The sequence below is a fragment of the Homo sapiens genome, assembly GCF_000001405.40.
Source record: "Homo sapiens chromosome 1 unlocalized genomic scaffold, GRCh38.p14 Primary Assembly HSCHR1_CTG7_UNLOCALIZED".
Lineage (NCBI taxonomy): Eukaryota > Metazoa > Chordata > Mammalia > Primates > Hominidae > Homo > Homo sapiens.
In genome coordinates, this window is record NT_187367.1 from 136614 (window position 1) to 154064 (window position 17451).

Sequence of the window (17451 nt, forward strand, 5' to 3'; positions counted from 1 at the left end):
TGTGGGTTCCTCAAAGAAGCAAGACGCTAATTATTAGTGTCGAGAGGCCCCGATGCCAAAAGGAAGCACCTTCAGCCCCAACAGGGACTGGGGTTTCCTCTGGAATTCTAGCTGGAAAGACAGGTTTGACCCGGGAACTCAGCTCTGCCCTGGTGTTGGTGACAATCTTAGATCAATAGGCAGAGGGCAAGTCCCTCAGGAAAAAGACCAGTGATCCTCAAGATCCATTCTGGGGCCACTATGAGGGTCTTGCTTAACTGCATGCATTTTCTTACTTATTTCTTTTCTTAGATGATATTTCTGGTCCAATGGAAAATATAGACATAGTGTCACGATTTCAACACAAACGAGCGAATGTGGCTGCCAAAAAATCAGATGCAGGCTTGGCTTTCATTGGAAAGGAAATCAGACTGTGTGTGGAGGGTCTCATCCTCCTTGAGCATTTCACAGGCCCTTGGAAAGAGTGGCGGCAGGAGGAGCAAAAGGAGGTTCAGTCCAGAAGAGAGAAGGATGCGGAGGTCACAGGGTAGAAAGTGCTGCTGCCTTGCACCTGTCAGCTCCAGGCCATCCTCTGTCTTTCAGCAAGTAAGAGTCATTTCCTCTGGGAAGCCTCTCCCGATAGTTTCAGACCAGGGGAAGCCCCCATGTTGTATGGTCTCATAGCACTCTTCATTTTCTTTCTAGCACTAATCAAGCAGGATATTGTATTATTCAGTGACTGTTGGGGTAGCCAGACTGAGCCCCTAAAGGCAGAGACCCTGTCTGAATGTGCTTACCATTGTATCCCGAGCTCCTGGCACAGTGCCTAACATGTAGTAAATGCCAATTCCTAGCTACTGAATAATTGGATGATTGAATGATTGGGTGGATGGATGGATGACTAGATGGGTGGATGAATAAGTGAATGATGATAGAAGCTCCAGGGAAGAAGACGATAGTTCTGGGAAGTCAACTGCACTTCAATATAAAGAAAAACATTCTAAAGTAAGCACCAGGCCATGCGTGGTGGCTCACGCCTGTAATCCCAGCACTTTGGGAGGCTGAGGTGGGCAGATCACCTGAGGTCAGGAGTTTGAGACCAGCCTGGCCAACATGGTGAAACCCCGTCTCCACTAAAAATACAAAAAGCTGGGCATGGTGGGACACAGCAAATTATGAATCATTTGCTGATCTCTGTTCTAGGTGCTGGGGTTTCAGCTATGAAAGGCTCTGCTCAGGTGGAGCTGATGTTCAGGTAGAGAAACAGCAATAAACAAACAGCTAATGAGCCCTCACTGGGAAGTTGGGGAGCGTGACCTGTGAGACTTAGCCCTCAACTTCTAGGAGCTTGGGGGTGGGGACAGAGTAAGCAGCACAGCACCCTTGAGCAGGGCTACCACCAGGGGCCTGGGAGGAGCCCAAGTCTGCAGGAAGGCTGCGAGGTTCAGGGAGGAGGCAACACCTGCACAATCTTCTTTCTTTCTTTATTTTATTTTTATCTTTTAATAAGGACAGGGTCTCCCTATGTCTCCCAGGCTGGAATGAAGTGGTGTGATAATAGCTCACTACAGCCTCGAACTCTGGGGCTCAAGTGCTCCTCCCACCTCAGCCTCCCAAATAGCTGGGACTACAGGTGTGTGCTACCACGCCTGGCTCATTTTTTAAAAATTGATTTTTGTAGAGACAGGGGTCTCGCTATGTGGAGTGCCTGTAATCCCAGCTACTCGGGAGGCTGAGGCAGGAGAATTGCTTGAAACCAGGAGGCAGAGTTTGCAGTGAGCCAAGATCATGCCACTGCACTCCAGCCTGAACAACAGAGTGAGACTCCATCTCAATAAAATAAAATAAAATAAATTAAAATAAAATAAAAATAAAACACAAAGTAAGTACCAGCTGGTGATGGAAGGGTGCGCTTTGAGAGATGTTGAGCCTCCCAGCCCTGGGCTTGTCCAAGTAGAGATCAGATGGCTTCCGGTCATGATGCATTGGAAAGCATTCTTGCATGGGATAGAATGCAGACTAACTCTGTGGGACTTTCCGCCTCTAAGAGGGGGGTTCAAGATTCTAGACTCCTAGGAGGGATTTGGGTGCCTAACAAAGAGGAGGGGGTTCCCTCTGCCATCACTAGATGGGTACCCTATGTAGTCTTTGGATTATTCTCAAGTATTGTAGCTGGTAAACTTTCTAATTGGTTCTAATGCATCAACATTTTCTTGGCGATTGAGTGATGCTAATAACATCCCGCTTATAGAACTTTCTAGGTAAGGAACACTGTTCTAGGTGACTTCCATGTAAAGACTCACTTAATCTCCTCAGCACCCCTATGAGATAAGTGTTATTACTGTCATTACATCTTAGAGATGGGGAAACTGAGGCAAAGGTAAGTTAAGTAATTGCGAAATTATATATGTATATATATTTATACATGCATAAATATATATGTATATGTGTATATATACTTATCTATGTATATGTGTATATATATACTTGTATATATATATTTATACATATATATGTGTTTATATAAATCAAAATCTGTTTTATTTGGGCACATGTGTGGCTGTTATAGCTTCCTCATACAGTCGTTGTGTTTTTTGTTTTTTGTTTTTTTTTTGAGACAGAGTCTCACTTTGTTGCCCAGGCTGGAGTGCAGTGGCATGATCTCGGCTCACTGCAACCTCCGCCTCCCAGGTTCAAGCGATTCTCCTGCCTCAGCCTCCTAAGTAGCTGGGACTACAGGTGCCCATCACCACACTGGGCTAATTTCTTGTGTTTTTGGTAGAGACAGGGTTTCACCATCATGGCCTGGCTGGTCTTGAACTCCTGACCTTAAGTGTTCCGCCCATCTTGGCCTCCCAAAGTGCTGGGATTATAGGTGTGAGACACCGCGCCCAGCTGCCTATTACTTCATTCTTATTTGAAAACAAAATATTGAACATTTCCCTCAGCAAGCCACACTGTGTCCCACTCCAAGATGTTCACTGCTCCCACTTCCTCTCTACCTAATGGGATGAGATCTTTAGGATACGTTTGCCTCCCTATTCCTTTCCCTTCTTCCCTCTCCTTTTCCATTTATTTACCTTGAGGGCTTTCAAAGGTTTTTCTTTGTTCCCTATCCAGTCCTTTTCCAACTTAGGTTTTTTGTTGTTGTTGTTGTTGTTTTGTTTTGTTTTGTGTTGTTTTGTTTCAGATGGGGTCTCGCTCTGTCACCCATGCTGGAGTGCAATGGTGCAATCTCAGTTGACTGCAACCTCTGCCTCTTGGGTTCACACCATTCTCCTGCCCCAGCCTCCCAAGTAGCTGGGACTACAGATGCTTGCCACCACACCAGACTAATTTTTGTATTTTTAGTAAAGACGGGGTTTCAGCATGTTGGCCAGGCTCATCTCGAACTCCTGACCAAAGGTGATCCATCTGCCTCGGCCTCCCAAAGCGCTGGGATTACAGGTGTGAGCCACTGTGCTTGGCCGAACTTATGGGTTTTGTAGAGATAGTTAATAGAATTTCGCCTCAAAATGTCTATTCTGTATGACAAGTCTTTATAGGGTATGTAAATTACACATCTCAGGCAGTTTATCCATTTGAATTTAAGTTCTTCTTTTCTCTCCTATTAATCTAATTATCTATCTCCATCTGTCTCTCCATCCATTATACCTCCACCCTCCTCTAGCCTTCCACAGAGTTGATTGGTCACTATAATTTGCTCTCCTCCTCATCTTCCCCTCTTTTGGGGACTCTCTTCCAGTTCACAAGCTCCTTGGTTAAAGTCCTTTGTCAGACAAGTTATGTGGATGACAGTTTTCTCTGTTCTCTGTTCAACAATCACCTCCTTTCCTGCCCATGTACCTTCAACCTCAGTCCCCTTTTCTGCTTTACTTTTCTTCATGCACTTAGCACTTCCTGACATTCTTTATGTGTTTACTATTTACCGGTTTATTTTTTGCCTTCCCCACTAGATGTGAAACTCCTCAAGGGCAGATACTCTATTTTATTGACCTTTATATCTTCAGTGCCTGGGACAATGCCTGGCCCATGGTTGCTGCTCAATAAATAGCTGTTGAAAAAATTACATTTTGTATACTTCAAACATCATTCTGCCTTTTGCCCTGACACATGGGCGACATCTTAGCTGAGAATAAGGTTTTTGAGGTGCAGTCTTTTCCTTGTGGCACATACGTCCACTGTCTTCTGGTTTCCCAGGCTGCACAGAGGAAGTCTGTTGCCAGCTCATCTCTCTGATATTTTGTGCACACCCTAATTTATGCAATATTATACTCGTATATTTTTGTTTCTACAGCAATCTCCTATGTCTGTCTTTGAGCCCTTGGCACAATGTCTCATGCATAGTAGGAGTCCCCAAGGTGTTTGTTGTATAAACAACTGGCTGAATGAATCCATGGATGAATGGATGAACATAGGAAGAAAGGGAGGACTTAAAGAGTATATTATTGAACACTTGGCATGTCAACCACAGAGATGGTCTAGACCAGTAGTTTTCAAAGCGGGGCCTAGATCAACAGTGGCAGCCCCACTTGAAAACTTGTTAGAGATGAAAATTTTGGGGCACCACCCAGACCTACTAAATCAGAAACTCTGGAGGTGGAGCCCAGGAATTTGTGTTTTAACAAGCCCTGCAGGTGATTCTGATGCAGTTTCCAGTTTGAGAACCACTGCTGTAGACCATCCGCATTTTCTGTATGGGAATCCTGAGGTTGGGAGCAGGAAGTGACTCATGTATTCTGTGAGTGTCCAGGTCTCCGTACTTTCAGGCCTGTACTCTTGCCACTCAACCACGCTGCCTCACCTGATCTTGCTATGTTTTTTGTAATTAAAACCAACCACGTATTTGTCAAAACATTTCAAAGCACTGGGATTGAATCTCCACTCTTACAACGTTTCCGATTTCATTGGGGTGTTTCCAGGATTAAAAATGTGAGTTAGAGTTGTTTCTATAAGGCTTTGAGCAGTGGAAAAGTGCCAGGTGATTGCATTACTTTTCAGAGGAGGCTTCTCAGGCTGGGGCTGTAACGTTATAGCCCAATGTTATGGCTCATGCCCTCCTCTCTGCTCAGTGCCTTAATGCATGTCATACATGATCCAGTTTCCTCCTGTTGGTAGGAGCAAATGTGTAAATGGCAGTCATTGCTAGCCCAGGAGGGAGATGAGGAACTCTGACTTGATCAAGCACTCATGATCATTGCCTTTTTCTCACTAATTTCTTCATTTGTCACCAAGTGTCTTTTTAATGTATTTTGTACATTCCTTTCCAGTCTTTTTTATATGCAAATTTTTTATTAGTTTGTCTTTATGTTTTGGGCAAAGCCATGCTCATTATACTATCAAAGATTGCTTCCTTTCCTCAGTACACCTAGCACAGGCCCTTCCTCAGCTACTACTATAGAGCCCTTACCCATCTATTTTTTTTTTCTAATATACTTTCAGCCGGGCTCAGTGACTCATGCCTGTAATCCCAGCACTTTGGGAGGCTGAGACAGGCGGAGCACTTGAGGCCAGGAGTTTAAGACCAGCCTGGCCAGCACACCTGTAATCCCAGGTACTTGGGATTGAGGTTGAGGCACAAGAATCACTTGAACCTGGGAGGTGGAGGTTGCAGTGAGCCAAGATCGTGCCACTGCACTCCAGCCTGGGTGACAGAACAAGACCCTGTCTCAAATAAATAAATAAATAAACTTTCCATTTTAGAAAAGCTTTAGATTTATGGAAAAGTTGCAAAGACAGTTCAGAGAATTCCTGTATACCTGTATGACCTGCACACTCTGCACTCTTATTTCTTATTATTTCTTATTAATATATATATATTTTGAGACAGAGTTTCACTCTTGTTGCCCTGGCTGGAATGCAATCATGCAATCTCGGCTCACTGCAACCTCCACCTCCCGGGTTCAAGTGATTCTCCTGCCTCAGCCTCCGGTGTAGCAGGATTACAGGCATGCACCACCACACCCGCTACTTTTGTATTTTTTAGTAGAGATGGGGTTTCTCCATGTTGGTCAGGCTGGTCTCGAACTCCCAACCTCAGGTGATCCACCCACCTCGGCCTTCCAAAGTGCTGGGATTACAGATGTGAGCCACTGCACCCAGCCAGCTGCACTCTTATTCTTTAGAGAACAGGATTTTAGGATTAGAGAACTGAGATTTTTGAGTAGAGCAGTGACATTCTTAGATTTCTCCTTTTTGAAAAAGCTTCTGGGAGCATTCTGTTGACTGGACCAGGCTTCGTTGATTGTGTATCATTTGTCAGACTCTGGGCTATGGGGTGGGTACAATGATGAACGGGACACAACACCTGCCTTCTAGTTTTACCTTCGCAGCTCAACAGTAGAATTTGTTTATTTATTTAGAAATAATTATTATGTTATTTTTGGGTAGAGATGGGGTTGCTTAGGCTCTTGGCCTCAAGTGATCCTCCCGCCTTGGCCTCCCAAAGTGCTGGAATTACAGGCATGAGCCACCATGCCTGGGCTAGAATTTATTTTATTAATATATTTTTAATTATGGTAAAACATGCATTTATATACATAAAATTTACCAACTTAGCAGTTTTCAAGTGCACAGCTCAGTGGTGTTAAGCACATATGCACTGTTGTGCAACCAACCTCCAGAACTTTTTCATCTCGCAAAACTGAAACTCTGTCCTCATTAAACACTAACTCTTCATTCTTCCCTCCCTCTAGCACCTGGCAACCACCATTCTATTTCTGTCTATGAATTTGCTTACGTTTGATACCTCATATAATGAAATCCTACAGTATTGTCCTTTGGTGGTTGAGTTTATTTTACTTAGCATAATGTCCTCATGGCTCATCCATACCGTATCGTGTGTCAAAATTTCCTTCCTTTTTAAGCTGAATAATATTCTGTTGTATGTCTATACCTCATTGTGTTTATCCATCCATCTGTTGATGGATGCTGGGTTGCTTCCACCTTTTGGATACTGAAAATAATGCTGCTATGGACAGGAGAATACAGATATCCCCTCGGGTCCCTGCTTTCAATTCTTTTGGGTATATACTCAGAAGTGAAAATGCCAGATCATGCCATAATAGTATTTTCAATTTTTTGAAGGCCCTCCCTACTGTTTTCAGTAGTAGCTGTACCAATTTACATTCCTACCAACAGAGCACTATTTCTCTATATCCTCACCAATGCTGGTTATTTTCTATTATTTTCTTTTTTTTTTTTTTTTGATAGTAGCCATCCTGATAGTGTGAAAGTATTTTGCAGTTTTGATTTGCATCTCTCTAATAATTAGTGATGGTGAACATCTTTTCATGTACTTGCTGGCCATCTTTATGTCTTCTTTGGAGATATGTTTATTCAAGTCCTTTGCCAATTTTTAAATTGGCTTTTGTCATTGTTGATTGATCGATTTTTGGAGACAGAGTTTCGCTCTTGTTGCCCAGGAGTGCCATGGCATGATCTCGGCTCACTGCAACCTCTGCCTCCCTGGTTCAAGGGATTCTCCTGCCTCAGCATCCCAAGTAGCTGGGAATATAGGCATGCACCACCATACCAGGCTAATTTTTGTATTATTAGTAGAGACAGGTTTCACCACGTTGGCCGGACTGGTCTCCAACTTCTGACCTCAAGTTATTCACCCTCCTCGGCCTCCCAAAGTGCTGGGATTACAGGTGCGAGCCACTGTGCCCAGCCCATTGCTGTCAATGTATAAGAATTCTCTATAAATTCTCTCATAGCAGCATTATTTTCAGTATCCAAAAGGTGGAAGCGACCCAGCATCCATCAACAGATAGATGGATAAACACAGTGAGGTATAGACATACAACAAAATATTATTCGGCTTAAAAAGGAAGGAAATTCTGACACATGATACAGTATGGATGAGCCATAAGGACATTATGCTAAGTAAAATAAACTCAACCACCAAAGGACAGTACTGTACGATTTCATTATATGAGGTATTTAATGTAAACAAATCTGTATATTGTGGATATTAATGACTTATTAAGTATATAATTTGCTAATGTTTTCTCCGGTTCTGTGGGCTGTCTTTCCACTTCGTTGGTAGCATCCTGTGATGTGCAAAAATTTTTCATTTTCATGTAGTTCATCTTATTTATTTTAATTTTTGTTGCTTGCATTTTTGGTGTCCTAGCCAAGAAATTATTGCCAAAGCCAATGTCATGAAGCTTTCTCCCATGTCTTCTTTTACAAGGTTTATACTTTTATGTTTAGATCTTTTATCTGTTTTGAGTTAATTTTTGTATATGCTGTAAGGTGAGGGTTCAAATTCATTCGTTTGCATGTGGACATCCAGTTTTCCCACATTTGTTGAAAAGACTGCCCTTTTCCCATTGAATGGTCTCAGCACCCTTGTGAAAAAATCATTTGACCATATACATAAGGGTTTAATATGTAATATAATTTATTTTGAAATGACATCAATGTATATTAATGGAATGTGTGTGTTTCCACTTCCCCCTTTATCCCACATTTAGGTAGTATCACATTGTTTGCAGTCATTACCATCATCCTGGGATGCCTTAAAATTAGATACTTCATTGGATTTTCAGAATGTTTATCAGCCACTGAAGGAGTTTTCCCTGTCACCCATTCAGTGCATACTTTGTTGCAGGTAAACCACTGATGTTTATTCATGTTGTCTCATTCCTGTGAAGTGTATCCCAGGTTGTGTAGAAACTTGTAACATCAAGACATGTGGCAAGTGGAGACAGTGTGCACAGCTGTGAACTGCAATGAACTGAGGTGAACTGAAGTCTATCTTTGAGGCTTAATTCTTCAGCTGCCTCCATTGCAAAATAAAACTCTGTGTCCCCATGGCCATTTTTGCAGGGATCCTATGAGGCAGAACTTCTAATGATGAAGAGTCAGGAAATTCTGCCAAGCCAGGGTCTACAGTAAAAGCTTGAGGGAGTTTTATTTTCTGGGTATGTAACAGGTTTATTGAGAGAATTCACATGGCATATAATTCACCCATTTAACATGTGGAATTCAACGGTTTAGTCTGTTCATAGAGTTATGCAACCATTGCCAAAATCAATTTTATTTTTTAAAAAAATTTAATATTCTTCCTACATAGAAACCTTGTGCCATTGCAATGCCTCCTCTGGGTCATGGAAGCGCTTTTGTTTTCTCGTTTGGGGATTAAAGTCTTAGAAATGTATAAGGATTTTTTCCCACAGCATTGGTAAACTTGGTATGGCTCAGAAGGAAGGATTTGATAAATATAATTTAAATACATAGCTTAGGGTCAGAAAAATCTCATGGTTGAAAAGAATGTTAGATGGGCTTTCAGGGTAGTGTTCGCCCTTGGCAGAAATCCGTGGTAATGTTATCAGAGTCAGGATCTGAATTGTTGAATTGTCAGTCTCATTTTTTTTTGTTTTTTGTTGTATATGTTTAAGGTATACAACATGATTATTTGATATTCCTATCCATAGTGAAGTGATTACTACAGTCAAGCATATTTATGTCTGTCATCTCACATAGTTGCCTTTCTTTTTTTGGATGTGGTAAGAGCACCTAAAATCTATTCTCTTAGCAAATTTCCAGTATACAATACAATAGTATTAACTACAGTCTTCACGTTGTCCATTACATCTCTAGAATTATTCATCTTACGTATTTGCAACTTTGTACCCTTTGACCAAAATCTTCTAATTTTTCCCCTCCAACTACCATTCTACTCTTTATGTTATTTTGTTTTTATTTATTAATTTAATTCAATTTTAGAGACAGGGTCTTGCTCTGTTGCCCAGGGTAGAGTGCAGTGGTGCCATCACGGATTACTGCAGCCTTGAATTCAGCTCAAGTGATCCTCCCGCCTCAGTCTCCCTAGTAGCTAGGACTACAGGCCCACATCACCATGCCCAGCTTCTACCATCTGTTTTTATGCATTGGATTAAAAACGTTTTTCTAGATACTACATATAAGTGAGATTATGCAGTATTTTTCTTTCTGTGTCTGCCTTATTTCACTGAGCACAATGTCCTCCAGATTTGCCCATGTTGTTGCAAATGGCAGGCTCTGCTCTCATTTTTTTCTAACGAAGAAGTTGGAGCTCAGAGAAGACAAGTGACTTGCTCAAAGTCACTGCGGAGACACAATGATTATTTTCTTCCTGACAAGTCACCCTGGAAGACCATGAACTTGTTCTGGTGATACTGCCATTGCTGGAAATATTTTTGGATTTCCAGTTTGAGAAGGTTCTTTGGAAAGTTTTCTACCTCTAGAAAACCAGGGATGACATTTTTAAAACTTCATCTTTTATCCAAAGTGACCGTCAGCTTGTACCCCCAGCTGACTTACCAGACAGCACTGGATGACCTTAGAGTGTTTCTCTAGATCAAACACATTCTCAAACAGTGAAGCTAACAGACAGAACGTGCCCAGTGAGCCTGGAAACAGTTTAGCTCCATGGTGGCATGGTGGGATCACTGGGGAGCTTGCTGAGGGGCTCATTTGGAGGGGCTGCCTTGCACTTGAAAGCTGTTATGAACTGAGTCATATCCCCTGTGAAATTCATATGCCGAAACCCTCATTCTCAGTACCTGAGCATGTGACTGTATTTGGAGATAGGGTCGTTTAGAGGAGATTGAGGTTAAATAAGATCATTAGGCTGGCCCAAATTCAATATGCCTAGTGTCTTTATTTTTTATGTTTTTGAGACGGAATTTTGCTTGTTGCCCAGGCTGCAGTGCAATGGCATAATCTCGGCTCACTGCAACTTCCGTCTCCTGGGTTCAAGCAATTCTCCTGCCTCAGTCTCCCAAGTAGCTCGGGTTACAGGCACCTGCCACCATGCCCAGCTAATTTTTGTATTTTTAGTAGAGATGAGGTTTCACCATGTTGGCCAGGCTGGTCTCGAACTCCTGACCTCAGGCAATCCACCTGCCTCGGCCTCCCAAAGTATTGGGATTACAGGCGTGAGGCACTGCGCCTGGCCCTGGTGTCTTTATAACAAGAGGAGAGAAGGACACAGACACACACAGAGAGACAGCCATGTAAAGACACTGGAGGAAATTGACCATCTACAAGCCAAAGAGAGAGGCCTCAAAAGGAACCAACCCTGCCCATACCTTGATCTTGGATTTCTAGCCCCAGGACCCTGAGAAGAGAAATTCCTGTTATTGAAGTTGATGATCTGTGGTCCTTTGTTATGGCAGCCCAAGCTGATCAAAGATAACTGGCTGCTCATTCCAGGGGAGCCAAATCCCGTGAAGACAGAGCCTTATAGTGATACAGTGACAATGTGGAAAGCTTTCGTGAGGCCAGAACGAACTGCATTCGTTCATTCATTTTTCTTGTAGTTCATCTTTAAATACTGGACGAACATTGTTCTCAGCATGGGGAATACAAGGCTGTAAAGTCTGTGTCACACACCATGGGGGTGTCAGTTAGGTGAGAGGCAGTCCCCAAAACAGTGACAACGCTGGGCTCAGTGCTTTGACCAGAGTGTCCAGAGCAATGAGGGAGCACAAAGGAGGGCATTTTGGCAGCTTGGAGTGACAGTCAATTTCTGCCAGGGAAGGTCCCAGAACCGTTTGTGAGAGAGGGAGGAGCACAGGGTTAGTGGGTCAGAGGCCACTGGAAGAGGGTGTCTTTGGGACATGCAGTCTTTCCTCACAGTGGGGTAGCGGGAGGATGTGTGGGCACAGGCTGGATCCCTGTTTGGTGTAGGGCTTGTAAGCTTGCACTCTGGTCAGATTGCATGACTCTGGCTCTGACCACAGCTGTGTGACTTCAGGCAAATTACTTAACTTCTCTGGGCCTCATGGGTCTTACTTGCAAGGTGAGGACAATCACAGTACCTACTTCATGGGCTCGTTGTAGAGATTAAAGGCACATGTGTATGAAAAGCACTTGGCACAGGGCTAGGTGTGCAGCAAATTCTTGGTCAAGGCTGACCGCCACCTAGGGGCTTGGGCTTCACCTCGAGGGCAGTGGGGAGCCACTGAAGGCTTTAGGCAGAAGAATGACTGGGACAGATATGAATTTTCAAAATATCCCTCTTAGTTGGTGGGTTGGAGATCCTAGCTTTCTAATTTAAGGCATTTTATTGGCCAGGCAAGTCAATGAATTAATCATTCTATACCTGTTGGACACTTACCATGTGCTTTTGCTACATTAGATGACTGGCGAATGGAAAAAAGTATATATAACAATTAGGCGCTGTTCTAAAAAACAGAGCATTTATTTTAAAATTGTGGCAAATACTGAAAAACCTGTAGATATCAGGATGAAATCGCTTTTGTCAGACCCAGGCAAAATAGGCCTGGGAAGGCGCTAAGGAGAGGGCACTTCTGTCTACGTGTCTGAGATACAAAGTGTTTCCAAAGACTTTCTAAAAACCCTTCATGCATCTCCTGCTTTGAAGAGGTTGGACATTACTAGACATTCTTTAGGACTGCAGTAAAGCAGATAAGATGCTCTTGGAAGAACACTTGTCCAGCACTGGCATCTCCACCAATGAACTGATGACAACTCTGGCTTTGAGCCTCTAGAACCGATGAACTCTTTTTCTCTGTGGATTATGTAAATCTCTCTTTGCTAATAACAGCTCCTCCTTACCCTTCCCTCACCGAATGCGCTGGTGGCTTGCCATTCCATGCATTCTGGACTGTAATTCCTATTTCCAAGTAAATCCAACATATTTAGTGATAATTTTCTCTAGTGTCTTTTTTTTTCAGGTTGACAATCACATAACATTTACCATCTTAGTCATTTTAAGCGTATGGTTCATTAATGTTAAGTACATTCACTTGTTGTACCACCAATCTGCAAACGTTTTTCATCTTGCAAAACTGAAACTCTGAGCCCACTACACAACTCTCTATTTCCTCCTCCTCTGGCTTTTGGCAAACTCTGTTCTACTTTCTGTCTTTATGAGTTTGAATATTCTAGATGCCTCATATGAATTGAACCATACAGTATTGGTCTTCTTGTGTCTGGCTTATTTCTCACAGCATAACGTTCTCAAGGGTCATCCATGATGTAGCCAGAATCATGGCTGAGAAGGAGCCGTGTATTTGTGTGCACATGTCTGTCTCACCCTATGGTGCCTGAGGCTCTCCCAGGGCTGCTTGAGAACTGAGTCCTTGTGTTTTTCAGGTTTGGGGTGATCCACTTGGTGTTCACCAACCTGCTTCTGTGGGCCAACGGCGTCCTCAATGAGTCAAAGCACCAATGAGCACAAGGAATGGCTCATCACTCTGGGCTTTGGGAACATAACAACAGGTGAGTGCTGAGAGAGGTGAGTGGCCCCTCTGCCATGTTGGAATGTCTTGGAAACCTGCAGAGTCCACAGTGTTCAGAGATGGAGTGCAGGTTCCAAAGAACTTCAGGCCCACCAAAGTCAGCATCAGCCAGACAGCCCCCTGTTGTTGAAAATCTTCCAAAACCTGAATCTCTCATAAGTGATGTGTACTGAGCATAATTAAAGGTTTCTTCCATGACTCAGGGACTTGTAAGACCCACGGTGATCATTCTGATGGCCATTTCTCATGGTCCAGTTTGCCGCAGAAATAAATGTCTTTGTTTTCAACTACAGAAGATTGATGGTTGCCTCTGCTTGTGTTTTTAATTAAACCTCTATTACCAGTTCTTTCTAGTAAAAGTATGGCTTTTAAAAATTCATAAAAGTCTAATGGTAGGTTGTGGTTAATAGGCTGTGGTTCATTTAAAGTTTTAATTTAACTGTAGTTGGCTTATAATTCTAGCTCATGTCTGTTCTGCCTTGTTCCTATTTGAGAGCCTGTTGGGTTAATCTTTATATTTTCATCTAAAATCCTTTAGCATTTACAATATGTCACTTCTATATGAGAACATTCAGGCTGAGGGGAATGTGGGGCAGGGAACTGGGTGTCTCAGGTTTGTTCCCATCATGTACAAGCTGTGTGACCTTTAGAAGACATTTAATCTCTCTGAGCCTCCCTTTTCTCATTTGTAAAGTGAGGGTATCCAAATCATGCACTTGCAAAGATCCCTTCCAGCTTTAACATGCAGCAAGTCTGTGACAGCTGTGTGAACCCAGGCTGTCCTGGAGAGCCACTTTGAACCTGTTTTGTCATCAGTGGGGTGGAGACAACGAAGTCACCACCCCCAACCAGCAGGCACTCGGTGTTTGGGCCTCATGTCCTCCTTGGTATCAATATTAGTAGCAGCAATGACCACAATAACAAAAGTAAATTTTTATTAAGCATTTGCTGAGTGCCAGCCACTGTTGTTGGAAATTTACACATGTCATTTAATTTGTACCCCCACACTCTCTGGTAGGCTATATATGTGTGTATGTGTATATATATATATATATATATATATATATATATATATATATAGTTGTTTGTTTGTTTGTTTTGAGACAGAGTCTCACTCTGTCGCCTAAGCTGGAGTACAGTAGCGTGATCTCGGCTTACTGCAACCTCTGCCTCCCATGTTCAAGTGATTGATTCTCCTGCCTCAGCTTCCTGAGTAGCTGGGACTACAGGTGCATGCCACCATACCTGGCTAATTTTTGTATTTTTAATAGAGACGGGGTTTCACTATGTTGGCCAGGCTGGTCTCGAACTCCTGGCCTTGTGATCCGCCAGCCTTGGCCTCCCAAACTGTTGGGATTACAGGCGTGAGCCACTGCGCCTGGCCTCAGGTAGACAATATTAACCTCATTATATGGATGAAGGCATCAAGCCACGGAGAAGTTAGCCCAGGGTAACACAATGAACATGTGATACAGCCATGATTTGAATCCTAACAATCTGGCTTCAAGGCCCTCTGTGAAAGATGAGGTTGGATTAATTTTCTAAAAAAGGACTCTGTCAGCTGTAACATTCTGTTACTCTGAACTTTTCCTCCTGATTTCTTCCCTTGTCTTCTGCATAACACCGTATTGAATTGTAAGTGCTAGGGAAGCCCTGTGTGAATTGAAGATTATTACTGGGGCAGTGACTCACACCTGTAATCTGAGCACTTTGTAATCCTAAGGCAGGAGCATTGCTTTAGCCTAGGAATTTGAGACCAGCCTGGGCAACAAAGGGAGACCCCAGCTCTGGAAAAAAAAAAAAAAAAAAAGCCAGGCATGGTGGCATGGGCTCGTGGTCCCAGCTATAGCTACATGGGAGACTGACGCAGGAGGATCACTTGAGCCCAGGAAGTCAAGGCTGCAGTGAGCTGTGTTTGTGCCACTGCACTCCAGCCTGGGCAACAGAGGGAGACCCTATATAAAAAAGAATAAAAAAAGAAAAAGAAAATTTCATAGTGTTCTGTGAAAGTAAAATTAATGCTACGATATAGTTTTTCTCAGATTTTTTTTTTTTAGACGGAGTCTTGCTTGTCGCCCAGGCTGGAGTGCAGTGGCATGGTCTCGGATCATTGCAAGCTCTGCCTCCCGGGGGTCACACTATTCTCCTGCCTCAGCCTCCTGAGTAGCTGGGACTACAGGCGCCCACCACCACGCCTGGCTAATTTTTTGTATTTTTAGTAGAGACAGGGTTTCACCGTGTTAGCCAGGATGGTCTCAATCTCCTGACCTTGTGATCTACCTGCCTCGGCCCTCCAAAGTGCTGGGATTACAGGCATGAGCCACCACGCCCAGCTGCTTTTCTCAGATTTTATAAGTAATATATACATATCATAAACTAAAACAATGACAAAGTGTGAAGCAAAAAAATCCACAACACTTACCCAGAAATGCAGTAAATGCTGTGAATGTTTGGTTATTTTTTTGTAGTGTGCCATTTATTTATAGTTGATTTTATACTATATATTTGATCTTTTTTTATTGCAACCTTCAATAAGAGACAGATTTTACACTGTAATCCAAACACGCACATACTTATGTGTGTATGCTTGATGAAATAATACTTAATTTTACTGTATCAGAGATGCTTCCAAATTTTATCGGAGTTGATTCCACTCCATTCTATCCTATTCTAGTCCACTGAAAATTATTTCTGCTACAAAAAAGTTGGTTGCTACCTGATTTTACAGCCTTGTACTGGGTTGTGACTTGCATTAAAGAAATATACAGTTTGTTCTTACTTTTTTCCATTTTCCTTGAAACGAGATTACTTTCTTAATATTAAAACACATCCTGGCTGGGTGCAGTGGCTCATGCCTTTAATCCCAGAACTTCGGGAGGCTGAGGCGGGCAGATCGCATGAGCTCAGGAGTTCAAGACCAGCCTAGCCAACATGACGGAACGTTGTCTCTACAAAAAATATAAAAATTAGCCGGGAGTGGTGGCATGGGCCTGTGGTCCCAGCTACTCAGCAGGCTGAAGTAGGAGGATGCTTGAGCACAGAAGGCTGATGTTGCAGTGAGCCAAGATTGTGCCACAGCACTCCAGCCTGGGCAACAGAAGGAGGCTCTGTCTCAAAACAAACAAAAAACAAAACAACCCCCCCCATACCCAAAACCATAAAGCACATCTTAATTATAACGTGCAGTGGCTGTCTACTATCTCATTGTTGGGATATACTAAAATTTACTTAACAATTTCTAAGTTGTTGGACCTTGAGCTGTTCCTCTCTCTCTCTCTCTCTCTCTCTCTCTCTCACACACACACACACACACACACACACACACACACAATTTTACCTGACTTTTTTTTAAATTATTTTTTGAGACTGAGTCTCGCTCTGTCACCTAGGCTGGAGTGCAGTGGTGCGATCTCAGCTGACTGCAACTTCTGCCTCCCAGGTTCAAGCGATTCTTCTGCCTCAGCCTCCCCAGTAGCTGGTATTACAGGCTTGCCACCACACCTGGCTAATTTTTGTAGTTTTAATAGAGATGAGGTTTCGCCATGTTGGCCAGGCTGGTCTCGAACTCCCGACCTCAAGTGATCCACCTGCCTTGGCCTCCCAAAGTGCTGGGATTACAGGGCTGAGTCACCACTCCTGGCCTTACCTGACTCTTTGATTACATTTTTTTATTTGTCCCTTTGAGTAGAAGGGTAGAATGGAAAGAATGGAATTATGGGTCAGAGACTGCATCGCCTTCAGGGCTTTGGTGACCTGTTTCGTCATTTACTTGCAGCATCTGCCTTCCTGTGATGAGAGGGCCCTCCATATGACAGCCAGCTTCTCTTCCAGAAGGTGGTGCCCGTTTACTTTCCCCGCACTGATATCGGAGAGCACCTGTCTCCTGCATGCTTGCTAGCACTGGAGTCTTAAGAGGCATATCTTTTGCTAATTAAAAGGGGTATTTTCTCCAGAAAGTATTTTTTAAAAATAATCTTAAAAAATCACACATGTAAATCATCTTCACAGAGAAAATTTAGAAAATACAGGGAAGCAAAATCTAGAAGAGATTAAAAATCATCTGTCATTTTTCCACCCAGAGATAACAATTGTTGACATTTTAGTTTGTGTCCTTCCAGGTTTTTTCCATCTGTCTGTGTGTGTGTGTATCCATCTATCTATCTATCATCTACATATCTATTTTTTACAACAATAGAGTCATCTTCTCTATCCT

General features: G+C 42.9%; 1 pseudogene; it reads left to right on the top strand.

The window, feature by feature from the left end:
- The window catches only part of LOC102724459 (proton channel OTOP1-like), a 31365-nt pseudogene that overhangs the window by 3837 nt on the left and 10077 nt on the right, over positions 1 to 17451 (top strand).